Below are 26,850 nucleotides of genomic sequence, written 5' to 3'. Positions count from 1 at the left end.
GTGCTTTAGACCAGAGGTGGTCATGCTGGTCACTAGAGTGGGGCCTTGCGGCAGTGAGACCACCACGGATCGGAGGCCTGGCCGCACCCTGTGTGGTGAGGGGCTGGGGAGGTGGTGCTCTCTGGTTGTCAGCGGAGGGAGTAGTGATCGGTGCCACCTTTCTGAATGGCAGTTTTAAGTATGCTGCTTGTGGATTTTAAATGTAATTTTTGTACTTTTGTTTTCTTCTCAGTCCAGTCAACCTGCAACCAAAACGAGACTTTTTAGCACGCTTGATCCTGAGCTCATGTTAAACCCAGAAAACTTACCAAGGGCCAGTACCCTGGCTATGACAAAAGAATATTCCTTCCTGCGCACCAGTGTCCCTCGGGGGCCTAAGGTGGGCAGCCTGGGGCTTCCGGCACATCCTAGGGAGAAAAAAACTTCCAAATCAAGCAAAATCCGGTCTCTGGCCGATTACAGAACTGAAGATTCAAATGCGGGGAATTCTGGGGGAAATGTCCCGGCTCCCGATTCTACCAAGGGTTCCCTGAAGCAGAACAGAAGCAGTGCGGCGTCCGTTGTGTCTGAGATCAGCCTGTCCCCCGACACTGACGACCGTCTGGAGAACACCTCCCTGGCTGGAGACAGCGTGTCTGAGGTGGATGGAAATGACAGCGACAGCTCATCGTACAGCAGCGCCTCCACCCGAGGGACCTATGGCATTCTGTCGAAGACAGTGGGCACGCAGGACACCCCCTATATGGTCAACGGCCAGGAGATTCCTGCGGATACCCTGGGCCAGTTCCCCTCCATTAAGGACGTCCTCCAGGCCGCAGCCGCTGAGCACCAAGACCAGGGGCAGGAGGTCAACGGGGAGGTGCGGAGTCGGAGAGACAGCATCTGCAGCAGGTGGTGGGGACAGCAGAGGTGGGCGGGGTGGGTGGAGGTGGGTGGGGCCAACAGAGGGGGGTGTGGGGCGGGCAGAGGTGGGTGGGGCGGTAGCAGAGGTGGGTGGGGCCAACAGAGGGGGCGGGGTGGGCAGAGACGGGCAGGGCAGGCAGAGGGCCTGGCCTGAGATGTTGCTTCCCGGGCCCACGGCTCTCCGCACTGGAACAGGTGATACACAGCTTTTCTTCCTGATTCTATCCTTAGTCTTGACATGAACATTTAATTCATAACAAGTCTGCTGCTTTTTAATCAGTAGAATTAGATCAGCAATGGTCTGTGTTACTAAAATATCCAGTCTCCCGTTTACATAGACTTGTCACTAAGCTGCACGACGCTTGCATGTCTCATGTTTCTGTAACAGTTCCCACTGCGTGAGGTGCCAACTGTTGGCAGGAATGTTCATCCGTGCATCATGCAAGCCTCAGCTCTCTACTTAAATCTCTTACTTAATTTTAAAAAATTGGGAGAGAGCAGCAGGGGTGTGTGGAATTTGGAGAATGTGGAGGAGTGTGAAAGAAAATGAGGATGGCTCGCACAGGCCTGACCCGTGCCTTTGTCCCCAGCGTGTCCTTGGAGAGCTCTGCAGCAGAAACACAGGAGGAGATGCTGCAGGTGCTCAAAGAGAAAATGCGACTCGAAGGACAGCTGGAAGCCTTGTCACTGGAGGCGAGTCAGGTAACGGACGTTCGACTGACATCTCAGCGTGCGGCGAAGTCGGAAAGCATGTGTGGCTCCTCTGTTGGGTACGAGGTTTCACAGATGTGGTTGGGAATCAGCCGCCGCAGCATGTGTGGCAGCCGAGGGTTCTGCATCTTTACGTTTTTTGTCTACTTGTCAGCCTTAGAAAGAGTTGTGAGTTTTCTGCCTCATCGTGCATGGGCGTGTTTCTCCCTGCGTCTCTACCAGAATATTTGCTAGATGTTAGGTGTCTCACAGTCCATAAGAGTCAAATTCTCTTGGTGGGTTGCAGCTTTTTCTGGCATGGTGAACCTTTTTTCTTTGTAGTGATTTCTGCTTTTTCTGATACTAATTGTGCTGTATCAGAGAAAGCTGCACACGCTGGCTTGGTTAGCATGTGCCAGAAACATCATTTTCCATCCCTTATTTCAGCTCTCCTTTGTCATTTTGTCGTATGCACTTTATCCACAGTGAAGAGCTAGGTATTTATCTTCTGTCGGCAGTTGAGTAAATCTGTTCAGTGGGGTTCAGCTGTCCGCTTCTGGCGTGGGAGGGTGAGAATGCACCCAGGCCCTGAGGTGACACAGCTGAGGGAGCCTCCTGTGGCCTGCGAGGCCGCAGAGCAGGGCTGGAGCTGCTCACAGTGTCCGGAGCTTGCCTTGCTAAATGCACGCCTCATGTCGAAGATGGTTTTCTCATACAACATGGTCCTTGGACACAAACCAACCAGTTTGTGACACCTAAAGCTGTGTCTACAGAAGAGGTGATTTCGGCTGTTTTGAGGCTAATTCTGGTTGTACGGTCGTCACTTCTCCAGTGTTACAGCGTGAGCCTCCCTCCGTCGGATGCATTTCCCCTCCTCTGTGTAGCCACTCTCTCGAACGGTGGCTTGCTGTCACTGCACTTTGTCTTCTTATCCTCTTAGGATCACTGATTGGTCCTTCGGTTGCATCCACACCAAGATCGTGAGGGTTGTTTCAGGTGTGGTGGTTGCTGGCCCCTTGCTCTAGGGTCTCCTGGAGTTTGTGGAGTTCCTCAATTGCTTTGGGTGTTTGTTGTCTTGGTGATGTGTGAACTGGATCCCTGCCCCTGTAGGCCTCAGCGTGGGGGCAGGTGGTGGGGCGATTTCCTCTGGCGATTCTCTGCTGCTCCTGGGACCACACAGCACTGCGGTGGCCACTCAGGACTGTGCTGTGTCCCGTGGCTCTGGCTGGAGCCGCACTTAGGCAGCCGCCTTTCCCTGCCTGTGTTTTTTGCCCATTTCCCCCCAGATCTGAATCCGCTTTTAATCTCTCAGGGGTCCCTCTACACGTCTGGCATTCTGTGTGTGTGCGCATACATGTGCACCCGTGTACACGTTTGGTGTTTTGAACACGTTTCCAGTGTCCTCGCAGGAGACGGGTGCTTCCCCAGCCCTGCCCTAGCGCTGCCCTGTGCAGGTGCAGTTGGGCCCAAAACCAGTGCAGGCTCCCTGTGCGTCCTGGGCCTGTTTGGAAAGTCGCCTTTTTCTGTGACGGCTGTGCTGGGAGAGCGCCTGGGGGTCTCGGGGTCCTCTGTCAGGCCTTGGGAGAGCGCCTGGGGGTCTCGGGGTCCCCTGTCAGGCCTTGGGAGAGCGCCTGGGGGTCTCGGGGTCCCCTGTCAGGCCTTGGGAGAGCGCCTGGGGGTCTCGGGGTCCCCTGTCAGGCCTTGGGAGAGCGCCTGGGGGTCTCGGGGTCCCCTGTCAGGCCTTGGGAGAGCGCCTGGGGGTCTCGGGGTCCCCTGTCAGGCCTTGGGAGAGCGCCTGGGGGTCTCGGGGTCCCCTGTCAGGCCTTGGGAGAGCGCCTGGGGGTCTCGGGGTCCCCTGTCAGGCCTTGGGAGAGCGCCTGGGGGTCTCGGGGCAGGGTCCTCTGTCAGGCCTTGGGAGAGCGCCTGGGGGTCTTGGGGTCCCCTGTCAGGCCTTGGGAGAGCGCCTGGGGGTCTTGGGGTCCCCTGTCAGGCCTTGGGAGAGCGCCTGGGGGTCTTGGGGTCCTCTGTCAGGCCTTGGGAGAGCGCCTGGGGGTCTCGGGGTCCCCTGTCAGGCCCTGACTGACTCGCTGGTTGTGTTCCTGTTAATACACTGGATGGAAGTGACTCGTTTTCTTAAAATCATTGTGGTTGTTGGGATCTTTTCAGGCACTTAAAGAGAAGGCTGAGCTGCAGGCCCAGCTGGCCGCCCTCAGCACGAAGCTGCAGGCGCAGGTGGAGTGCAGCCACAGCAGCCAGCAGCGGCAGGATTCGCTGAGCTCGGAGGTGGACACCCTGAAGCAGTCGTGCTGGGACCTGGAGCGAGCCATGACTGACCTGCAGAACATGCTGGAGGCAAAAAATGCCAGCCTGGCGTCGTCCAACAACGACTTGCAGGTGGCCGAGGAGCAGTACCAGAGGCTTATGGCCAAGGTAGAGGACATGCAGAGGAGCATGCTCAGCAAGGACAACACAGGTGAGGCTGGCCCTGGCCACGCCCTCCCCTCCCTGACTGGTCCCTGCTGCTCCCTCCTCCTTCCTCGACTGGCCCCCGCCACGCCCTCCTCCTTCCCTGACTGGTCCTTGCTGCTCCCTCCTCCTTCCTCGACTGGTCCCCGCTGCTCCCTCCTTCCTCGACTGGTCCCCGCCACGCCCTCCTTCCCTGACTGGTCCTCGCCACGCCCTCCTCCCTGGTGCTGACAGCTCTGTCGGCATGTGACTGTGCCTGTGAGGGTTGCATTGGTTTATAGTTTACACATAAGGAGGCTGCTTTTCTAAAGGAAATACAAGTTTTAGTTGAACTTGTGGAATTGTGTACATTTTTGTGTGCACATCCAGGGGAATGAATTAGGTCTTGGAGATTGACCTTGGACCCTGGAGTATCTGCGGTGATCCTGCCTCAAAAGTCCAGTGTTATTTGGGAGTATAGAGCTGCCCACTTATTCCACAGAATTGCAGATTCCATTTAAAATATTCAAGAACAGCTCCTTGACTGTCCGTCTGGCAACCTTTTCTCCCTGGATGCAGTGCGTCGGTCCAGCTGCCTCCCTATAGGGCTCGCCCAGAGAGTACAAGTAGGGCAGTGGATTGCGGAAGCCGCGGCGGGCTTCCATGTGGCTTGGCAGCACGCCTTCCACCCCCTCAGTCCCCGCCCGGGCCAGTCCCAGAGCTCACACTCCAGTGCCCAGCAGACACGGAGAAGACTGTGGTTGGCCTGCTCAGAGCAAGCGTGAACAGGAGTGGGAAGGAGAGGGCGAAGCAGGGTGGGAAGATTGAAGACAAAGCCCGAGGGGTGTAGAGTGACCCGGGTCCAGAGTCCTCCCAGGGAGGCCGCTTGGTGGGCTCATCTCTCAGGTCTTGGGATCTCCTGAGCCAGGGGTCCCTGGTGCAGCCGCTGTGAGGGCTGACTCCATGTGAGCCGGTCCGCCTATGAGGCTGTGAGACTGGGTCTTGGATGACACAGAGGAAGGTGACAAGCTGGCGTCACAGAGGCTACATTCTAATACTAGGAAAGAGAAAGCCGGCCGAGAGACAGTAGTACTCTTGTAATCGCTTTAATATTTTAGTCCTTGAGCATTTCGTGATACCCAATCCCTTAGGAAAAACCATGAAACCCAAAAAGTTCTCAACACTAAAGTAGTTTGGGGCCCTGTGGGTTGCCACGCTTCACTTGACCAGTGATCGGGGGGTGGCAAAACCAACCTGAACTTTGATGAGGCCGCCCAGTCCTAACCGGTGGGTTTAAGTTGGAATTAGCCACACGGATACCCTTGCTGTTTGTTGATGGCTGGTAGACATCGTTGGGTCGAAGACAGAGCCTCGGCGTCCATGACCATTTTCACAGATTTCCTAAGTGTGAATTTGCCGACTTGATTAAATTTGTTTGAACCACAAACTCAGTATTCATGGACACGTGTGGAGCAGCAGAGTACGTGAGTCATCCTAGGCGCCCGCTGAGGAGGGCAGGATACTCTGCCTGCCTTGGTGCTCAGCCGGGCTGCAGGCAGGAGTTCTTTCCAGGGCCATGTTTACATGTTTGTGCTTTGGGGGGTAATTTTGCAGTTAAAGATGGCCCCAAACACTGTCTAGTGTTTTTTTTTGTTGTTTTGTTGTTGTTGTTGTTTTGTTTTGTTTTTGAGACGGAGTTTCACTCTTGTTGCCCAGGCTGGAGTGCAATGGCGCCATCTTGGCTCACCGCAACCTCTGCCTCCCAGGTTCAAGCGATTCTCCTGCCTCAGCCTCCCTAGTAGCTGGTATTACAGGCGTCTGCCACCGCGCCCGGCTAATTTTGTATTTTTATTAGAGACAGGGTTTCTCCATGTTGGCCAGGCTGGTCTCGAACTCCCAACCTCAGGTGATCCGCCCGCCTCAGCCTCCCAAAGTGCTGGGATTACAGGCGTGAGCCACTGTGCCCGGCCAACACTGTCTAGTGTTTTTAAACACAGAGAGGATGTGAGGTGTTTCATGGAGAAGATGTACTTCATTTTTTTCTTTTGGTTTATTTTTTTCAATTCATCCTGTTTCTATTTTTTTAAATTTTCTTTTTGTTTTTAAAAATTCATTTGTCTTTGAGATGGGTTGCTCTGTTGCCCACGCTGGAGTGCAGCAGTGCAGTTGTGGCTCACTGCAGCCTCAAACTCCTGGGCTCATGGGATCCGCCCGCCTCAGCCTCCCAAGTGGCTGGGACCACAGATGCATGCCACCCCGCCTGGCTAATTTTTTTTTTTTGGTGGTGGGGGATCTCGCTGTGTTGCCCAGGCTGGTCTGGATCTCCTGGGCGTGCACCCCTGTGCCCCCTGCACCCCCCATGCCCCCTGCACCCCCGTGTCCGGCCACTGTTATTTCCTAGAGAATCTTTGCTCAGGCTTGTTGGTCAAGTTGCTGTTGGCCGTGAGCTCGGTGTGAATGAATCGACGCTATGTATTAGATCGGTGTCGTAAATGGAAACACTGAACAGAGGTTATGTATTGATGAGCTGGTGAAGGTGCTGTGAGCAGAGGCCTGCAGGAACCTCACCCTGCATTTCTGCCAGGAGCGGCATCTCTCAGCGCCCACTAATGCCGTGTTCACGGCGACTTCATGGAGTCAGCTATGGGGAATAACCGGAACTGACTCATTCTTGGTCTCCCCTGAGAGTCCCGCCTTGTGTCCCGCACGCGCGGAGCTGCGGACTCCCCCGTTGGCCGTCGCTGGCCTGAGCCGCTGTGCTTGCCCCATTTCAGTGCACGACCTGCGACAGCAGATGACAGCCTTGCAGAGCCAGCTTCAGCAGGTGCAGCTGGAGCGGACGACGCTGACCAGCAAGCTGAAGGCGTCGCAGGCGGAGATCTCGTCCCTGCAGAGTGTCCGGCAGTGGTACCAGCAGCAGCTCGCCCTGGCACAGGAGGCCCGCGTCAGGCTGCAGGGTGAGATGGCCCACATCCAGGTACGGCCCACATCTACCTTCCAGGGCAGGTCACGCTTCTTGTCTTCATGTAGAACGGTGCTTTTTCCTGAGATTTTTCTGTTTTTAGAGTTCACAGGCATGTTTTTGTTTTTAACCTGCTGTCCAGCCCACCCCGTGTCCCATGTAGGACGTGTCGTATGCAGGACGTGTCCCGTGGGCCCCCCCCCAACCTTCTGACATGGGAGTCCCACGGCAGCCTCTGCCAGCATTTTCAGTTCCAAAGCCTCTCTTGCTGGGCATGGTGACACATGCCGGTGAATCCTCATTTGCCTGGGTCTCGGGACCCTCCCACCCTGGCCTCCTGACTCGGCACAGTGTTGCGTGCCTGTGAATCCTCATCTGCCTGGGTCTCAGGACCCTCCCACCTCAGCCTCCCCACTCTGCTGTGATGTCTCACAGGCGTGCGGTGCCAGTGGGGTTCTCTTCCCGGTTGGAGCTTTTCCTTTCCCTGCTGCCTGAGCCCTCAGTGATACACGGGGACCACGTCTTCCCAGCAGGCCTTGCATTTTCTACGTCCTGTTGGAAAACTCTTTCCTCTCCCGTCCACTCGTTAGCGGGCACAGCCCATGTCCAGCTTGGTCCCGCATATGTGGGAGTGTGTGTCCGTCCAGGCCTGTGCCTCGGCCCACAGCAACTGCTTCGTGTGCTGGAGACGCCCAGACCGACAGGCGAATGGTTCGAGTGAACCTCGATCCGAGTCTCAGCACCTAGACTAATTAGGATGACCTCAGAGATGCTGAAGAGTACCTTTGGTCAGCCTCAGTCTTTTTGTTTTTGGTTTTTTTTTGAGACTGTGTCTCACTCCGTCACCCAGGCTGGAGAGCAGTGGTGCGATCTCAGCTCACTGCAGCCTCAACCTCTCAGACTCAAGCTATTCTCCTACCTCAGCCTCTTAACTAGCTGGGATCACAGACATTTGCCACCATGCCCGGCTAAGTTTTGTACTTTTTGTAGAGACAAGGTTTTGCCATGTTGCCCAGGCTGGCCTCCAACTCCTGGGCTCAAGTGATGCCTGCCTCAGCCTCCCAAAGTGTTGGGATTACAGGCGTGAGCCACCGCACCTGGCCTGTTATTTTTTAATTAGCTGTGGAATTTTTTTTTCCCAGATAAAATATTATAAATTTATTAAAACTTTATTTCTCAAGAGGGGAACGTGAAATACTAATTCCACCAAATGTTCCTTTTACATCTAGAGTTACAAATATACACAATAGAACTTTTCTTCAATTTTCGTTACTTTTTTGTTTGTTTTGAGATGGAGTCTTGCTCTGTCTCCCAGGCTGGAGTACAGTGTTGTGATCTCAGCTCACTGCAACCTCTGTCTCCTGGGTTCAAGTGATTCTCCTGCCTCAGCGTCCCGAGTAGCTGGGATTACAGGCGCCCGCCACCATGCCCGGCTAATTTTTGTATTTTTAGGAGAGATGGGGTTTCACCATATTGGCCAAGCTCGTCTTGAACTCTTGACCTTGTGATCCGCCTTCCTCAGCCTTCCAGAGTGCTGGGATTACAGGTGTGAGCCACCACACTCGACTGTTACATATTTTTTAAGCCAAAGAACAATACGGAAAAGCATTTGTTCTACTTACAACATAGCTTGGAAACAAATCAGTATACAAATTAATACACTTTTTTACAGCTGCAGTGCATTTATATGAGGTATTTAAAGACGTAGGCCAAGCCAGGTGTATTTTAGAAGTATAGTTTGGGCCAGGTGCAGTAGCGCATGCCTGTAATCCCAGCACTTTGGGAGGCCGAGGCGGGCCGATCACTTGAGGCCAGGAGTTCAAGACCAGCCTGGCCAACATAGCGAAACTGCATCTCTACTAAAAATGCAAAAGTTAGCCAGGTGTGGTGGTGAGTGCCTGTAGTCCCAGCTACTTGGGAGGCTGAGGCATGAGATGTGCTTGAATCCAGGAGGCAGAGGTTGTAGTGAGCCAAGATTGCGCTGCTGCACTCCACACTTCAGCCTGGGCAACAGAGCCAGACTTTGTCTCAAAAAAAAAAAACCAACAACAAGGAAGTATGGTGGTGTAGCCTGGACAACAAAAAGAGAGGAAGCTTTAAAGCAATGGTGGCTCCAGAGCCCTATCTGCTGTTTTTTCGGAGACAGGGTCTTGCCCTGTCACCCAGGCTGCTGGAATTCAGTGTTACCATCATAGCTCCCTGCAGCCTTGACCTGTTGGGCTCAAACAGTCCTCCTGCCTCAGCCCCCCAAGTAGCTGGGACATAGGTGAACACCATCACACCTGGCTAATTGTTTAAAAGTTTTCTGTAAGGACAGGGTCTCGCTATGTTGCCTAAGCAGGTTTTGAACTCCTGGACTCAAGCGATCCTCCCAGCGTGCTGGGATTACAGGATGAGCCACTGCCGGGCCCTCACTGCTTTTTCCAAATACCTTTGGAACCCAGGTTCAGCATTCCTTAATCAGAGTTTTTAATACATTTTTTTGGTACCCAAATGTATCCCTTCATTCCCAGTAACGTTCAGGAGGGAGGAGAATTCCAGGCAGTCAGTCTGCTTTCATGGTCTCGAAACACAGTCCCAGCAAAGGCTGTCTTCCCTGGCTCCGTGCACCTTCTCCTGAGGTCCTGGAGCGTGTGGCTTCTGTCACGTCTCGCACTGTGCACTCCAGGAAGCAGCATGGAGCTAGAGGCGATGCGGGCAGGTCTAGCCTCAGGCCCCAGGCTGTCCTCACACCTCCTTTTCAGTGCTACTTCCCTTGGCTGACGCCGTCCTCCTCAGGGCCATGGTCCTGGGCTTTTTCACGAGACGCTTGGCCAGCGTGGGCCTGAGCACCTGGAGGTCTGGGCCGGGCCCTAGCTGGCTGAAAAGGCTGTATCCCTGGAATGGCACCTGTCGGGCGTCTGGCTGAGGGCAGGCCCTGGTGTGTGTCTGGCTGGATTTGTTCAGTTAAGATAAGCCTCCTCACCTACAGGGGCTCAGAGATGCCCCTCCTCACCCACAGGGGCTCAGAGATGCCTTGTCAATGGGGACTTTTGGGTAGGTCCTGCTACAAACCGCAGTCTGATGAGCTACAAACAGCATGATGAGCGCTGGCTGATGGCCCGCCCGCCCTCCCACTCAGGCACGCAGAGCCCAGACAGCGCATATTTTGAGATGGGAAGACGTGTAGTGGGTAGTGGGGCTTGCGTGGGAGACACTGAGGGGGCAGCCAGTGACCCTCACCCTGGGGCCTCCAGGGACAGGCTGGTCTGCATTTCTTGCTTGAAATTGAGCAACTTTTTACTTTGTGGGTTTTTTTTTTAAGGTTGGACAGATGACCCAGGCAGGTCTCCTGGAGCACCTGAAACTCGAGAATGTGTCCCTGTCCCAGCAGCTGACGGAAACTCAGCACAGGTCCATGAAGGAGAAGGGGCGCATCGCGGCACAGCTGCAGGGCATTGAGGTGAGGCTGCGGCCGGGGCCGTGGAAGCTTAGGAGAACAGACGCAGACATCGATACCATGTGTGTTTTCTTACATGTTCCGTCTCTCTGTGTGTATCTCTTAAATATTCTCATGGATGGCGGGCAGTGACTGCTCGTTAAGGCTTTGGGACCCCCCCCCCACCCCTCATCCCTCACCTGTGGGGGCTTAGCATGGATGGCCTGCAGTGACTGCTCGTTAAGGCTTTGGGACCCCCCCCACCCCTCATCCTCACCTGTGGGGGCTTAGTGCAGTGAGCACTTGCGGCTCTTTTCCTGCAAGCCCCGCCTTGGGCCTGGGCCCCCGGCTGTCAGTCATTGCCAGTCAGGGATGGCGCTGGGTACAGAGTGGGTACGGAGGAAGGGGCCAGTGCGTTTTTGCCTGACAGCCTGTCGAAGCCTAGGGATGAGAGGATTTTCTTTGCTTACTGAGCACTCAGACTGCATTGCCATTTAACCCTCCAGCAACCACACGCTGTCGAGGTCATGGCCGCTGCCTGCACAGCCATCTCCAGAGGACAGAAATGCAGCAGCCTTGATAGCTGTTCTCCTTTAGCTGTGGGGCGCTGGACAATTTCTTACCTCTCTGAGCCGCATCTTTTTTTTTTTTGAGGTGGAATTTTGCTCTTGTCGCCCAGGGTGGAGTGCAGTGGTGCGATCTTGGCTCACTGCAACCTCTGCCTACCAAGTTCAAGCAATTCTCCTGCCTCAGCCTCCCGAGTAGCTGGGATTACAGGCACTCGTCACCATACCCTGCTAATTTTTTGTATTTTTAGTAGAGACGGGGTCTCGCCATGTTGGCCAGGCCAGTCTCAAACTCTTGACCTCAGGTGATCCGCCTGCCTCGGCCTCCCAAAGTGCTGGGATTACAGGCGTGAGCCTCATCTTTATAAAATGGGGATAGTGTCACCTACTCGATAGCCTTGTGGAAAAATTAAAGAAGAAGAAATGGTGTAAAACCCCAAGGCAGTGTATGGAGGGAGGTTCTGTGCTGGATGTTGCTGGGCTGGTCTCGTTGCCGATCTTGCCAGTTGTACAGGGAGCTCTCTGCAGCCTCACGTGGTTTCTCATCTCCTGCGACTGCTCCCACCTCTCTGTGGCATTAGCTGGGCTGCCCGGCTGGGATGAGAAGAATCACGTTGCGTCAGCCATAGTGCTTCAAGGGCTTAGTAGAGAAGAACTGAAAAGAATTTCAAGTTTCAAGTTAGGAATTTGTGTTTTCCCTAAGAAGTGTACCCCGATGTGAGGCTGTGTTCACTGCGGGGGCCTCTGGTCTCTTACCCGGTAGCACCAAGCACCGCTCTTGTGAGAGCATGTCCGGGTCTCACTCCCGAAAGGAGGCAGCTGTCGCCACACGAGAAAGTCGGGGAGGCTCTGCTCACCAGTGGGTCCAAGTCCTTCTCACGGGGTTGCTGGCCTGGGCTGGGCCTGGCCTCGGTCTCCTGGTTGGGGGGCGGCCAAGCTGCCCATCCTGGGCCCTCAGTCTGCAGTCGGTAGACAGGATGAGGAGGTGGATGGGGCCCATGCCAGGGCGGTGGGTTTCTCTGCAGAGCACGGGGCCACCGGCTGCTGTTCACTATTAAGGTTTCCTGCCTTTTTAAAAACAAGTTTCCTGGGCTCAGGCTGACATGTTGGATCAGGAAGCAGCCTTCATGCAGATTCAGGAGGCAAAGACGATGGTGGAGGAGGACCTTCAGAGGAGGCTGGAAGAGTTTGAAGGTGAGAGGGAGCGGCTGCAGAGGATGGCGGACTCGGCGGCATCCCTGGAGCAGCAGCTGGAGCAGGTAAGTCCCTGCAGCCCTTCAGGCTGGACCCAGGCCCCAGGTGATCCCGAGCAGCCAGGACTGCACACAAGGAGACCGAGCAGTCCTCTGCTGTGGGGCCACGTCCGCTCAGGTGGGAGTTGGGCTGTCGGTCAGACGCTGCTGCTGCTGCAGACCTGACCCTGTGTTTGCCCTGCTGGTTCTTCTATACCAGGATTGTGCGTGAAAAAAAGACCCTCCATAGTGTCCATCAAAATTACTTGAAACCCGAACAGGAAAAGGGCATACGCTCTCGGAGGAGGGTCAGGCGCAGCCATGTGGGCTTCATTCCTTCTCCAGGTGAAGTTGACTTTACTCCAGCGAGACCAGCAGCTTGAGGCTTTGCAGCAGGAGCACCTGGACCTGATGAAACAGCTCACCTTGACTCAGGAGGCTCTGCAGAGCAGGGAGCAGTCCCTCGATGCCCTGCAGACACACTACGATGAGCTGCAGGCCAGGCTGGGGGAGCTGCAGGGCGAGGCCGCCTCCAGGGAGGACACGATCTGCCTCCTGCAGAACGAGAAGATCATCTTGGAGGCGGCTTTGCAGGCGGCCAAGAGTGGCAAGGAGGAGCTTGACAGAGGAGCAAGACGCTTGGAAGAAGGTACCGAGGAAACGTCGGAAACTTTAGAGAAGTTAAGAGAAGAATTAGCTATCAAATCCGGCCAGGTAATGCATTCTGCTGTGTTTTGTTTTGAATCAGAACCCTCCTTGCAGGAATGATGCTGATTATTTGCTTCTTTCTTTCTTTCTTTTTTTTTTGAAACAGTCTCGCTGTGTTGCCCAGGCTGGAGTGCAGTGGGATGATCTGCGCTCACTGCAACCTCCACCTCCCAGGTTCAGGCAATTCTTGTGCCTCAGCCTCCTGAGTAGCTGGGATTACAGGTGTGCGCCACCATGCCCAGCTAATTTTTGTATTTGTAGTAGAGATGGGGTTTCGCCATGTTGGCCAGGCTAGTCTCAAACTCCTAACCTCAAGTGATCCACCCGCCTCGGTCTCCCACAGTGCTGGGATTACAGGCTGAACCACCATGCCTGGCTAATTTTTGTATTTGTAGTAGAGATGGGGTTTTGCCATGTTGGCCAGGCTAGTCTCGAACTCCTAACCTCAAGTGATCCGCCCACCTCAGTCTCCCACAGTGCTGGGATTATAGGCCTGAGCCATTGTGCCCAGCTAACTTTTGTATTTGTAGTAGAGATGGAGTTTTGCCATGTTGGCCAGGCTAGTCTCGAACTCCTAAACCCAAGTGATCTGCCTGCCTCCGCCTCCCACAGTGCTCGGATTACAGGCGTGAGCCACCGCGCCCGACCCCTTTTTTCTTTTTTTTTTTTTTTGAGATGGAGTCTCACTCTGTCGCCAGGCTGGAGTGTAGTGCGGTGATCTCGGCTCACTGCAACCTCTGCCTCCGGGGTTCAAGTGATTCTCCTGCCTCAGTCTCCCAAGTAGCTAGGACTACAGGTGCATGCCACCACACCCAGCTAATTTTTGTATTTTTAGTAGAGATGGGGTTTCACCATGTTGGCCAGGATGGTCTGCATCTCTTGACCTCATGATCTGCTCACCTCGGCCTCCCGAAGTGTTGGGATTACAGGTGTGAGCCACCTATTCTGTCTTTAAATCCCACTCTATAAGGATCAAGGGCAAGAGGAAATCATGAGCCTGTTTTCCCTCCTTTCTGAAGGAAGCTGTCACTACAAACACTGACCTGTACTAAGTGATTTTCTAGTAAAGAGGCACTCAGACAGGTCATTACTGTTTACAGTGTTGGGGGAGTAAATTTAGAGGAATTGTCCCAATTCTGTGGATGAATTTAAACTTGATTTTACTGACCATTAGCTCAGTAAGAAACAGCTGATACCTGGAAGACTGCGAGAGAGACTTTTGTGGAGCTATATGTTATTTCTCATATTGGAATTTTACCTGTGTTGTCATTACTGGCAGTTATTTAATCCAAGTTAACCTCTGGGTTGGGCTGTTTTCCCCAGGGCAGATGAAGGTGGTGGTAGCAGTGACCTTGTCTTGGAAGCTGCCTTCCCAGCTCTGAAGTCTGTTTTCCACCTGGGGACCATAGTCAGCCGACTGGGAGACGGACTGGCCTCCTGGGCCTGCCTGGTGTTGGCCACTCTGCCTGGCCTTGTCGGAATGTGCACACATCCCCGGCCATCTTTTTTTTTTTTTTTTTTTTTAAATAGATACGGGGTTTTGCCATGTTGCCCAGGCTGGTCTCAAACTCTTAGGCTCGAGTGAACTGCCCGCCTCAGCCTCCCGAAGTGCTGGGATTACAGGCGTGAGCCACTGCATTCCCTAGGCATCTAGACACAGCAGTATCCACGTGGGGGCTGAGGTTTCTCTGACCATGGCTCCCTGTTTGCTGAGTTCCAAGTCTGTTGCCCACTGTGGGAGCCGCTGTGGGACCAGGGGCAGGTGACGTGAGGATCATCGGAACGGATGAATGATGCGTGTGGAACAACCAGCACTTTGATCCTTCGCAGGGGGGCTCCTGAGGGACCGCCCTCCATATTGTAGGGAAAAAGGCTCATTCTTCAGTCATGCTCTAGTGATAACTAGGATTTGCATGCAGTGTGTTCTGTATTCAGACAGAAAACCTAGGCCCTAAACAAGCTCTTCCCTATTTCTGGAGTCGGCCGCCCCATGTGTGTGTGCACTGAGAGCTGTTTGCTGAGGTAGAGAAGTGTTTCACAAACACATGGATTCCTGAGTCCTCCGGGACCCTCCAAGTGCAGGTCCTGTGCCGTGGGTCTGTATGGAGCCCTCCGAGTGCAGATCCCGTGTGGTGGGTCTGTGTGGAGCCCTCCGAGTGCGGGTCCCGTGCGGTGGGTCTGTGTGGAGCCCTCCGAGTGCGGGTCCCGTGCGGTGGGTCTGTGTGGAGCCCTCCGAGTGCGGGTCCCGTGCGGTGGGTCTGTGTGGAGCCCTCCGAGTGCGGGTCCCGTGCGGTGGGTCTGTGTGGAGCCCTCCGAGTGCGGGTCCCGTGCGGTGGGTCTGTGTGGAGCCCTCCGAGTGCGGGTCCCGTGCGGTGGGTCTGTGTGGAGCCCTCCGAGTGCGGGTCCCGTGCGGTGGGTCTGTGTGGAGCCCTCCGAGTGCGGGTCCCGTGCGGTGGGTCTGTGTGGAGCCCTCCGAGTGCGGGTCCCGTGCGGTGGGTCTGTGTGGAGCCCTCCGAGTGCGGGTCCCGTGCGGTGGGTCTGTGTGGAGCCCTCCGAGTGCGGGTCCCGTGCGGTGGGTCTGTGTGGAGCCCTCCGAGTGCGGGTCCCGTGCGGTGGGTCAGTGTGGAGCCCTCCGAGTGCGGGTCCCGTGCGGTGGGTCTGTGTGGAGCCCTCCGAGTGCGGGTCCCGTGCGGTGGGTCTGTGTGGAGCCCTCCGAGTGCGGGTCCCGTGCGGTGGGTCTGTGTGGAGCCCTCCGAGTGCGGGTCCCGTGGGGTGGGTCTGTGTGGAGCCCTCCGAGTGCGGGTCCCGTGCGGTGGGTCTGTGTGGAGCCCTCCGAGTGCGGGTCCCGTGCGGTCTGTCTGTGTGGAGCCCTCCGAGTTCAGATCCCGTGTGGTGGGTCTGTGTGGAGCCCTCCGAGTGCAGGTCCCGTGGGGTGGGTCTGTGTGGGGCCCTCCGAGTGCAGATCCCGTGTGGTGGGTCTGTGTGGAGCCCTCCGAGTGCAGGTCCCGTGTGGTCGGTCCGTGTGGAGCCCTCCGAGTGGAGATCCCGTGGGGTGGGTCCGTGTGGAGCCCTCCGAGTGCAGGTCCCGTGCGGTCAGTCCGTGTGGAGCCCTCCGAGTGCAGGTCCCGTGCGGTCGGTCCGTGTGGAGCCCTCCGAGTGCAGATCCCGTGTGGTGGGTCTGTGTGGAGCCCTCCGAGTGCAGGTCCCGTGCGGTCGGTCTGTGTGGAGCCCTCGGAGTGCAGGTCCCGTGGGGTGGGTCTGTGTGGAGCCCTCTGAGTGCAGGTCCTGTGCGGTGGGTCTGTGTGGGGCCCGAGGCTCTGCATTTCTCACAAGCTCCTGGGCTGAATGGGCTGGGCTCCAACAGACTTTGCAGGACAAGGACCAGAGCCTGGGGTCAGCACCCTCAGCCTGTGGGCGCAGCCCAACACCGGGTTCTGTAAACTGTCACTGTAACAGCCCTGCTCGCTCGCCTGTGCTGCAAGAGCATTGCTGAGCAGCTGTGACTGACGTGCAGCCTGTGAGCTGCAGTCTTTTCCCATCAGGCATCTCCAAGAAAGGCTTGCCGAGCCCTGGGCTGCAGTGTCCCCTGGCCTCATCCCCTCTCCCACCTCCCTGCCACTCACTGTGCCTTCATGCTGTCAGTGGTGAGGAGGGAGAGCCCAGGCCTTAGGAACCACCAGTTCCCGTCAGAACACAAGTGCTTCTTCCTATAACATCTGTGCAGATGTGTGCCCTCCTGGAGCCATCAGTGTAATGTCTGTGTAGTTGCATCCCCCTCCTGGAGCCCTCAGTGTAACATCTGTGTAGATGTGTCCCCCTGCTGTAGCCCTCAGTGTAATATTCATGCACATGCATCCCCCTCTTGGAGCCCTCAGTGTAACATCTGTGCAGACACATTCCCCTCCTATAGTCCTCAGTGTAACAACTCTGCAGATGTGTCCTTTCCTGGAGCCCTCAGTGTAACATCTCTGCAGATGTGTCCCCTTCTGGAGCCCTCAGTGTAACAACTCTGCAGATGTGTCCTTTCCTGGAGCTCTCAGTGTAACATCGCTGCAGATGTGGCCCCTTCTGGAGCCCTCAGTGTAACATCTCTGCAGATGTGGCCCCTCCTGGAGCCCTCAGTGTAACATCTGTGTAGATGTGTCCCCCTGCTGTAGCCCTCAGTGTAATATTCATGCACATGCATCCCCCTCTTGGAGCCCTCAGTGTAACATCTGTGCAGACACATTCCCCTCCTATAGTCCTCAGTGTAACAACTCTGCAGATGTGTCCTTTCCTGGAGCCCTCAGTGTAACATCGCTGCAGATGTGGCCCCTTCTGGAGCCCTCAGTGTAACATCGCTGCAGATGTGGCCCCTTCTGGAGCCCTCAGTGAAACATCTCTGCAGATGTGTCCTTTCCTGGAGCCCTCAGTGTAACATCTGTGAGGATGTGTCCCCTCCTGGAGCTCTCTGTAACATTTGTGCAGATGTGTTCCCCTCCTGGAGGCTTCAGTGTAACATCTGTGCAGACAGATTCCCCTCCTGGAGCCGTCAGTGTAATGTCTGTGCACATGTCTCCCACAGGTGGAACACCTGCAGCAGGAGACTGCTGCTCTGAAAAAGCAAATGCAAAAAATAAAGGAACAGTTTCTCCAACAAAAGGTAAAAATCTGTTGTTGATTTCTTCACTTGAAACAAGCATATGAACAGAGTTTTCTGTGGTTTAATTGCTTAGCAATTCCAATGTCATTGAAGTTGAGAAGAAGGTAACATCTTGAGTTCTCTTTAAATTTTTTTTTTTTTTTTTTTTTTTTTTTTTTTTTTTTTGAGACGGAGTCTCTCTCTGTCAGCCAGGCTGGAGTGCAGTGACGCGATCTTGGCTCACTGCAAGCTCTGCCTCCCGGGTTCAAGCTATTCTCCTGCCTCAGCCTCCCGAGTAGCTGCGACTACAGGCGCCCTCCACCACGTCCGGCTAATTTTTTGTTTTTTGTATTTTGAGATGGGGTTTCTCCGTGTTAGCCAGGATGGTCTCAATCTCCTGACCTCAGGTGATCCACCCTCCTCGGCCTCCCAAAGTGCTGGGATTACAGGTATGAGTCACCGCGCCCGGCCCTCTTTAACTTTTTTTAAAGGTACTTAATCTGCAAAGTCAAGACACACTTCCACAGTGGGGTGGGGGTCTTGGCCCCTCAGATCTCCAGGGGCGGCTGTCACTGGAGCGCCTGTCAGCATACCCTGTTGTGCTCACTCCAGGGAGCTGTGTGTTGTGCAGTGTTGTTAACACACAGGTTGGGTTTGCCATTTAAAATGTCTTTGAAAAATGCACATAGAGTTCCAGCATTGAAACAAATTTTGGTTATCCAAAAAGACACGGAATATAAATTTTGTGTCAGTGAAGCCAGTACCTCCTGTTGGATTTTATGGGATCTGAGCAAGGGTGACCCCGAAGCTATATTGTGAGTGCTGCTGTGTTTTATTTCTGAGCGAGGGTGACCCCTGAAGCAGCGTTGTGAGCGCTGCTGTATTTTATTTTATTTTATTTTTGAGATGAAGTCTCGCTCTGTACCCCAGGCTGGAGGGCAGTGGTGCGATCTCGGCTCACTGCAAGCTCCGCCTCCCAGGTTCACGCCATTCTCTTGCCTCAGCCTCCTGAGTAGCTGGGACTACAGGCACCGGCCACCACGCCCGACTAATTTTTTTTTGCATTTTTAGTAGAGACGGGGTTTCACCGTGTTAGCCAGGATGGTCTCAATCTCCTGACCTCGTGATCCGCCCACCTTGGCCTCCCAAAGTGCTGGGATTACAGGCATGAGCCACCACGCCCGGCCTGTAATTTAGTTTTTTTGAGACAGAGTCTGGCTGTGTCGCCCGGGCTGGAGTGCAGTAGTGCTGTCTCCGCTCACTGCAACCTCCAACTGCCAGGTTCAAATGATTCTCATGCCTCAGCCTCGTGAGTAGCTGGGACTACAAGCATGCACCACCACGCCTGGCTAGTTTTTTGTATTTTTAGTAGAGATGGGGTTTTCACCTTGTTGGCCAGGCTGGTTGAACTCCTGACCTCAGGTGATCAGCCAGCTCGGGCTCCCAGAGTGCTGGGATTACAAGTGTGAGCCACCGCGCCCGGCCTGCTGTATTTTATTTCTGAGAGTGCTGGGATTACAAGTGTGAGCCACCGCGCCCGGCCTGCTGTATTTTATTTCTGAGCAAGGGCGGCCCCTGAAGCGGTGTCGTGAGTCCTGCTTTGCTTTATTACTGAGCCACAAGCAAGGGGATTACCTGTTGGAAGCAAAGCCGTGCAACTGAAGTCAGGAGAGAGCCAGACTCCTTGGAATAGAGGAGACGTCTATGAGGCCGGTGTGACTGCCTTGTGCACCACGCAGTCTCTCAACAGGCAGTGATGTCACCTGTGGATAAACAGTGGTGTGTCTCAGTCGATGGAGTCTTAGATTTGATGAAATGTATCTTTACCTCAAAAAAGTTATGCCCCCGATAAGTGGTAAACATTTTTGTTGAAGCCAGCTTGACCCCCAGGTACGCCCCCCACGCCCCGCCGCCCAGCGTCCGCTCACAGCCTCTGTCTTTGGCAGGTGATGGTGGAGGCCTACCGGCGCGACGCCACCTCCAAAGACCAGCTCATCAGTGAGCTGAAAGCCACCAGGAAGAGGCTGGACTCGGAGCTGAAGGAGCTGCGGCAGGAGCTGATGCAAGTGCACGGGGAGAAGCGGACTGCCGAGGCGGAGCTCTCGCGCCTGCACAGAGAGGTGGCCCAGGTCCGTCAGCACATGGCGGACCTTGAAGGGCATCTCCAGTCGGCGCAGAAGGAGCGAGACGAGATGGAAACACACTTGCAGGTCTGTCCGTGTCGGGTTGACTCATTTGATGGGGAGGATTCGGCCAAAGTGCTTGTCGGGAGGGTGGGGCCTGTGTCTGGGGCGGGGCCTGTGTCTGGGGCGGGGTCTGTCTGGGTCGGGGCCTGTGTCTGGGGTGGGGCCAAGGTGGGAGAGGCTTTTGGAAGAACAGCTGGGAACAAGGCCCACCTGGAGCATAGGTCCCAGAGGGGCAGTCCGGTGAGGCCTGATAAGTCCAGGTGGTGATGGTGCATGAAGGGAGGGAGTGAGGAGGCCCCGTGAGGCACCCAGCTTCTCCCCATTGCCATGGGCTCCCGGGATCTAGCATGTGAGAGGACAGCGGCTGTCATGCAGAAAGCAAGGGTGAGTGTTTTGTGGAGACCCCACGTCAGGGCAGGGCGTCGGGGCCCGGGGACCCTGGGAGTCCCTCGTGGCTGAGTGCGGAGCTGGGACTGACCAGAGCTAGTCATGTTCCTGTGGAAGCTGAGCCTGGGCTGGCTTCTGCACACAGTGGGTGTCCGAGATGCTGGTGACAGTTTCTCGGCTGCAGGTAGCAGAGCAGGTGAGGGGTAGAGGCGGGGGACGGAGGCCGCAGTCCAGGATCCTGTCCAGACATCCAGGCTGAGGAACCGGGAGGTGAGACGAGAAATCAGGAGAGCAACAGTAAATTTGGGGAGAGTCGTCTGATGGCACGTTAGACCAAGTGCTACGTTTTGCTTATGAAGTTTCTGAAGTTGCCGGAGAGGACCGAGCCAAGGTCCCAGCAGGCAGATTGGTCAGCATGTCTGGCTCATTAGGAGCCAGGCTGAGGCCTGTGAGTAGGCGGTGTGGCCGGCACCATCATTGTTGGAAAGTGAGGGCTGATGGATTAGCGCTGGTGCCGGGGTGGGGAGGTGGGCCAAGGGGAGGGCCGGCTCTTTGGACTGTAGGAGGCTTGGAGGACTCAGCAGTGCGGGCAGAGCACGTTCGGACCCCACAGCTGCAGGCCTGGGCTGGTTGTGGGGACTCGCCTCGCACACAGGAGCTGGGGAAAGGCTGCGAGGGCAGGAGCAGGTCGGGGACGCGGCCCTCAGTGTTCACAGTTGATCCTGAGGAGGGCATCCGGGGGGGGTCCAGGGAAGGGTCCTGGGGTCTCAGGAAGGGTCCTGGGGTCTCGGGAAGGGGTCCCGGGGTCTCCGGGGAGGGGTCCCGGGGTCTCCGGGGAGGGGTCCCGGGGTCTCCGGGGAGGGGTCCCGTGGTCTCCGGGGAGGGGTCCCGTGGTCTCCGGGGAGGGGTCCCGGGGTCTCCGGGGAGGGGTCCCGGGGTCTCCGGGGAGGGGTCCCGGGGTCTCCGGGGAGGGGTCCCGGGGTCTCCGGGGAGGGGTCCCGGGGTCTCCGGGGAGGGGTCCCGTGGTCTCCGGGGAGGGGTCCCGGGGTCTCCGGGGAAGGGTCCCAGGGGTTCTGGGGAGGGGTCCCGGGGTCTCAGGAAGGGTCCTGGGGGCTCTGGGGGAGGGGTCTGGGGACTGTGGGGAGGGGATCCAGGGGCTTGTGGGGAGGGTTCCCGGGGGCTCTTGGGGAGGGGTCCTGGGGTTTCCTAGGAGGGGTCTGGATCCTTGAGGAGGGGTCCTAGGCCTTGGGGAGGGTTCCTGGGGCCCTGGGGAGGGGTCCTGGGTCCTGAGGGTTTGGAGGAGAGGTCCTGGGTCCACAGGCTTTCCTATGAACCAGTCATGTCCTGTTGTGCCTCTGATGCTCTGGACAGTGTTTGGAAACGCTTGTTGGTCTCAGTAATGAGTGGTTTGTGGCCGGGTGCAGTGGCTCACACCTGTAATCCCAGCACTTTGGGAGGCCGAGGCAGGTGGATCACGAGGTCAGGAGTTCAAGACTAGCCTGACCAATATGGTGAAACCCTGTCTCTACTAAAAATACAAAAATTAGCTGGGCATGGTGGCGGGCACCTGTAGTCCCAGCCACTCGGGAGGCTGAGGCAGGAGAATCACTTGAACCTGGGAGGCGGAGGTTGCAGTGAGCTGAGATCACGCCCCTGCACTCCAGCCTGGGTGACAGAGTGAGACTCCATCTCAATAAAAAAAAAAAAGAGTGGTTTGTAAGAAGGCAGACGTCTCTCTCAGGATTTTTCTCAAGGCCCAAGTCCTCCAGGGCGAGCCTGAGCAGTGCCTTTGGTGGGGGTGATGGGCTGGAGCCAGGAAGGGGAGACAGGCTGGGGGTGGCAGTGCCGCTCCTCACGCCCTCCTTCCCTTCCACAGTCGTTGCAGTTCGATAAGGAGCAGATGGTCGCGGTCACAGAGGCCAATGAGGCGCTGAAGAAACAAATCGAAGAGTTGCAGCAAGAGGCCCGGAAGTAAGTCTGCATGTGCCCGGGGGAGGTGCGGGGGCCAGGTGGGAGGTGCGGGGGCCGGGGGGGAGGCGAACCAGAATGCCAGACGGTCACATCGGGATAATTCAGCTTCCTCCTGTGTCTCCCTCATGACACCCCAGGGCCATCACGGAACAGAAGCAGAAGATGAGGCGGCTGGGCTCAGACTTGACCAGCGCCCAGAAGGAGATGAAGACCAAACATAAGGCCTACGAGAACGCCGTGGGCATCCTCAGCCGCCGCCTGCAGGAGGCCCTCGCGGCCAAGGAGGCTGCGGACGCGGAGCTGGGCCAGCTCCGAGCCCAGGGTGGCAGCAGTGACAGCAGCCTGGCTCTACATGTAGGTAACACCGTGCCATCCCCGGCCAGGGTCACCAGCCCCTCAGTGCAGGGAAGGGCTCTCCATCAGCAGTTGTCCCCTAAAGCCTAGCGGGGCCGAGCTCGCGTGGGAGGTGGCAACTCTCTAAACTCCCGCTCATCTTCCAGGTTACCAGGAACCCACAGTGACTGAGCATTGCCTCGCGTCTCCCTCATGAACCCCACATGGCCTGTGGCCTGTGGCGTTCACCTGATTTTCCTCAAGAAATCTCCTTGGCTCAGAGAAGTTCAGCTGCTCCCTTGGGGCAGAGGGAGGGCCTGCCCTGGTCCGCTCGCGTTCCAGCTGCCTCTGCGCCTCCTCGCATCTCAGGAGGAAAAGCAGCCTCCGCACTCACTGAGAAGCAGGAGTGAGGGCATGGGGTCAGCGATTGACAGGGTTCAGGGAGCGTTTAGAGGTAGCCATGCTGCGGTGGCCCAGAACAAGCGGGTGCCCTTTCTGGAGGGCTCTGAGCAGAGCCTTCCGTGGAGGCCGTGGCCCTCCGTGCTCTGTCACCTTTCGTGGTAGGCATAACATTCTACCTGAGTGAGTTCATCCGCATTTTATTTATTATTCTCCAATTCACGTCCTTGCACTGACAACTTAGTATTTCTTCTTATATGTGGTTTGTTTCTATCTCCTGTCCACTTAAGAATTTATGGGTAGGAAGAGACTGTATCATAACGTGGGGTTTTCTTGTCAAATAAACTCGGCCGGGCACGGTGGCTCACACCTATAATCCCAGCGCTTTGGGAGGCTGAGGCAGGAGGATCGCTTGAGCACAGGAGTTTGAGACCAGCCTGGGCAACATAATTAGACCCTGTATTTACAAATAATACAAAAATAAAACCCAGGCATGGTAGCACGTGCCTGTGGACACAGATGCTTGAGACACTGAGGTGGGAGGATCGCCTCAGCCTGGGAGGTGAGGCTGAAACTGCAGTGAGTCATGATTTTGCTGCTGCACTCCAGCCCGGGCGATAGAGACTCTGTGTCTGAAATTCAATAAATAAATCAAGTGCTTCCTCTCACCTGGTTGCTTTGTAAAATGTTGGGGAGATTGATTCAGTTGCCATTTTCTTTGGGCTCACTAAGGGCTGGGGTGGGGAGGTCGCAAAGGCCGGGCAGAGCTGGCCCCTCGCCACGCTGTTGCAGCTGAGGAATAGCACAGCTGCGAGCCGATGTCTTGTGTCCGTCCGGGCTTCACCCCTCGCAAGTGGTGACTTTTGGCAAATTTCTCACCTTTTTGATCCTCAGCAAAATGAGGCCAAATTGAGGTGAATGAGAACCTTCTCATGTAAGGGTTAAGTTAGGTGGTACTGGAACATGCTTGGCAAGGGCCTGGTACCATCGAGGCAGCAAGTGGGCGGGGTGTGAGAGCACACCTGTGCCTGCATGTATCCGTGCATGTGTGAGGTGTGAGCATGTGTGTGTGCAGCGTGTGGAGTGTTTGTGTGCATGGTGTGTGGGATGTGAGCATATGTGTGCATGCAGTGTGGGGTGTATGTGTGCATGCAGTGTGAGGTGTGAGCACATGTGCATGTGTGGTGTGGGGTGTGAACACGTGGGGTGTGAGCATGTGCGTGTGGGGTGTGAGCACGTGTGTGTGTGGTGTGTGGGATGTGAACATGTGCACGTGGTGTGTGTTACATGAGTGTGTGTATGTGATGTGTGGTGCGTGAGCATGTGTGTGGTATTTATTACAACTGGTGCTGCTTGCTTGCCACAGATGGTGATTTATAGCCATTATCTGCAGGTCAGATTTTCTTCTGTATTTTTGAAGCATTGAACTGAAGAGATGATTTTGTTTGTCCCAACTATCCCCGTGTGTCATCGTGTGCATGCTGTGGTCGGTTAATTCAACTTCTTTAACAAAAAGGAAGGTTGTGAGACTGTGTCAGACAGCTGGTGTCTGGTGTGTGCAGCCACACAGCCTCATGCCTGCCGGCACCACAGGAAGTGAGGGGGGTCAGGGCCTGTCCCATGACCAAGCGCCCGTTCCATCTTGGCCCTTAGGAAAGGATCCAGGCCCTGGAGGCGGAGCTGCAGGCTGTCAGTCATAGCAAGACGCTGCTGGAAAAGGAACTGCAGGAGGTCATAGCGCTGACCAGCCAGGAGCTGGAGGAGTCCCGGGAGAAGGTGCTGGAGCTGGAGGACGAGGTGAGGCCTGGCCATCTGCTGTGGCGGCAGCGTGGGGCAGGTCACGTGAGCCCTGGACATGCCGCCACGCGTGAGACCCGAAGAACAAAACTTCACCGTGTGCCCAGCGTTGCTACTTTTGGTGTTGCCACCTTCTGACCGTCGGCCTCTGGCTCTGTGGTGGGGCAGGCCCTGATTCCAGCCCTCTGGGGAGGATCACTGTACAGCCTCTTTGGTGGAATGGTTACAGAATTCATAGTGGAACCCTTCTCAGTTCAAATGCTTTGGTTGCAAATAAGAAACCCAACTTCGCCAGGCGAGTGGCTCATGCCTGTAATCCCAGCACTTTGGGAGGCTGAGGTGGGCGGATCATGAGGTTAGGAGCTCGAGACCAGCCTGGCCGACATGGTGAAACCCCATCTCTACTAAAAATACAAAAATTAGCCGGGTGTGGTGGCGGGTGCCTGTAGTCCCAGTTACTTGGGTGGCTGAGGCAGGTAAACCGCTTGAACCCAGGAGCGGAGGTTGCAGTGAGCCAAGATCGCGCCACTGCACTCCAGGCTGGGCGACAGAGTGAGACTCCGTCTCAAAAAAAGAAAAACGTCAGATATCTCAGGTTCAGAGACAGTTCTCGCTTCAGCGCTGCTGGTGGCAGCTCAGTGTCCCGGCGCCCCCCACTCCCCAGCCCCTCCCTGTGGAGCTCCGTCACAGTAGGGCCGCCTGTTCCACTCTCTGGCTGTGTCCTGCCCTGAAGTGGTTTTGCTCATGCCCACCCTGCTGAGTGGCCTAGCCAGGGCTCAGTGCCTGGACAGACTTCTCCAGAAGCCCATGGCCCCAGGAGAAGGCTGGGCTCTTGGCCATGGGGAGGAATGAGAGGGGCCTGGGGAAGCAACTGACCATGACCACGACAGCCTTCAGATCATGAAGCAAGCACGGTCCTGTGGTGTCCATCGCAGGGTTGTGTGGTGTCCATTGTTCTTTGTTTTTGTTGTCTTGAGACAGAGTCTCACTCTGTCATTCAGGCTGGAGTGCACAATCTTGGCTCACCACAGCCTCCACTTCCCAGGTTCAAGTGATTTTCCCGCCTCATTCTCCTGAGTAGCTGGAACTACAGGTGATCGCCACCACACCTGGATAATTTCTGTAGTTTTGGTAGAGACAGGGTTTCATCATGTTGGCTAGGCTGGTCTCAAACCCCTGACCTCCCAAAGTGCTGGGATTACAGGTGTGAGTCACTGCGTCCAGCCCATTGCTGTGTTTTAGTTTTCGATGTTTCTTTTCTTTTCTTTTTCTTTTTTTTTTTTTTTTTGAGACAGAGTCTCGCTGTGTTGCCCAGGCTGGAGTGCAGGGGCACAATCTCAGCTCACTGCAACCTCCACCTCCTGGGTTCAAGCGATCCTTCTGCCTCAGCCTCCTGAGTAGCTGGGACTAAAGGCATGTGCCACGATAGTGGCTAATTTTTGTATTTTCAGTAGGGACGGGGTTTCACCATGTTGGCCAGGCTGGTCTCAAACTCCTGACCTCAGGTGATCCCCCTGCCTCGGCCTCCCAATGTGCTGTGATTACAGGCGTGAGCCTCTGCGCCTGGCCTAAGTTTTCGCTGTTTCTTGTTGAAAACTCACCTGTTTCTGGGGTATGTGAACTCCACTCACCAGTGCAGGTAATTTTACAGTGACATTGGTATGTTTCAGCTTCAAGAATCCAGAGGCTTTAGGAAGAAGATAAAACGCCTTGAGGAGTCAAACAAGAAGTTGGCTCTTGAATTAGAGCACGAGAAAGGGAAGCTTACGGGCCTCGGTCAGTCCAACGCAGCTCTGCGGGAACACAACAGCATCCTAGAAACAGCTTTGGCCAAGAGGGAGGCAGACCTAGTCCAGTTGAACCTTCAGGTATTCAAACTCGTCAAACTCACGCCAGCAACGGTGTGAGAGTTGGTGGGGCTGTGCGCACTCCGAGAATCTCATCCAGATTCAGTCACCTGTGCTGACTCCTAGCCCACCCGGCCTGCAGCCGAGAGAACAGGCTCAGGAGTCCGGGTGACCCACGGCCCTGGGTCCCCAGCTGTTGGTGCAGGGCTGGGCTCTCCGAGGGGAGGAACAGGCTCAGGGGTCTGGGTGACCCACAGCCCTGAGTCCCCAGCTGTTGGTGCAGGGCTGGGCTCTCTGAGGTGAGGCTGGAGCCCCTGCGTGTGCTCAGTTCACCTGTTTAGTTGAGGGGCAGACCTGCTTAGTCGGGGGGCAGACCTGCTTAGTT

The 26,850-nt window shown here is 55.8% G+C and overlaps 1 protein-coding gene across 18 annotated transcripts in view, besides 2 other annotated features; it reads left to right on the top strand.

The window, feature by feature from the left end:
• The window catches only part of GOLGA3 (golgin A3), a 60,168-nt gene that overhangs the window by 20,300 nt on the left and 13,018 nt on the right, over nucleotides 1-26,850 (top strand). For 16 of the 18 annotated variants that reach the window (NM_001389684.1, XM_047428706.1, NM_001389689.1 and 13 more), the window contains 13 exons: nucleotides 233-891; nucleotides 1,494-1,605; nucleotides 3,760-4,066; nucleotides 6,813-7,015; nucleotides 10,305-10,442; nucleotides 12,082-12,243; nucleotides 12,562-12,930; nucleotides 17,489-17,566; nucleotides 19,492-19,755; nucleotides 21,995-22,089; nucleotides 22,227-22,443; nucleotides 24,475-24,618; nucleotides 26,289-26,486. In NM_001389684.1, the coding sequence (NP_001376613.1) occupies nucleotides 233-891; nucleotides 1,494-1,605; nucleotides 3,760-4,066; nucleotides 6,813-7,015; nucleotides 10,305-10,442; nucleotides 12,082-12,243; nucleotides 12,562-12,930; nucleotides 17,489-17,566; nucleotides 19,492-19,755; nucleotides 21,995-22,089; nucleotides 22,227-22,443; nucleotides 24,475-24,618; nucleotides 26,289-26,486 (2,946 nt within the window). Of the gene's footprint in view, nucleotides 1-232; nucleotides 892-1,493; nucleotides 1,606-3,759; nucleotides 4,067-6,812; nucleotides 7,016-10,304; nucleotides 10,443-12,067; nucleotides 12,244-12,561; nucleotides 12,931-17,488; nucleotides 17,567-19,491; nucleotides 19,756-21,994; nucleotides 22,090-22,226; nucleotides 22,444-24,474; nucleotides 24,915-26,288; nucleotides 26,487-26,850 lie in introns of those variants that run through there. The other 2 variants (NM_001172557.2, XM_011534794.3) reach the window with 2 other exon arrangements.
• Nucleotides 13,743-13,912: an enhancer, noted in NCBI's record as "experimental_26074 CRE fragment used in MPRA reporter constructs". NCBI's record gives its function as "activates a minimal promoter by MPRAs in K562 erythroleukemia cells, with activity observed for both the introgressed and non-introgressed 12:133371541 variant alleles {active_cell/tissue: K562}" and the evidence as "EXISTENCE:reporter gene assay evidence [ECO:0000049][PMID:34662402]".
• Nucleotides 19,576-20,077: an enhancer, noted in NCBI's record as "H3K4me1 hESC enhancer chr12:133365291-133365792 (GRCh37/hg19 assembly coordinates)". NCBI's record gives its function as "activates a minimal SCP1, AML or CMV promoter by ChIP-STARR-seq in primed H9 embryonic stem cells {active_cell/tissue: H9 hESC(primed)}" and the evidence as "EXISTENCE:reporter gene assay evidence [ECO:0000049][PMID:30033119]".

Source organism: Homo sapiens, chromosome 12 (assembly GCF_000001405.40).
Source record: "Homo sapiens chromosome 12, GRCh38.p14 Primary Assembly".
Taxonomy (NCBI): Eukaryota; Metazoa; Chordata; class Mammalia; order Primates; family Hominidae; genus Homo; species Homo sapiens.
Note: the sequence above shows the minus strand (reverse complement) of the source record. Positions and strands in the feature narration are given on the sequence as shown.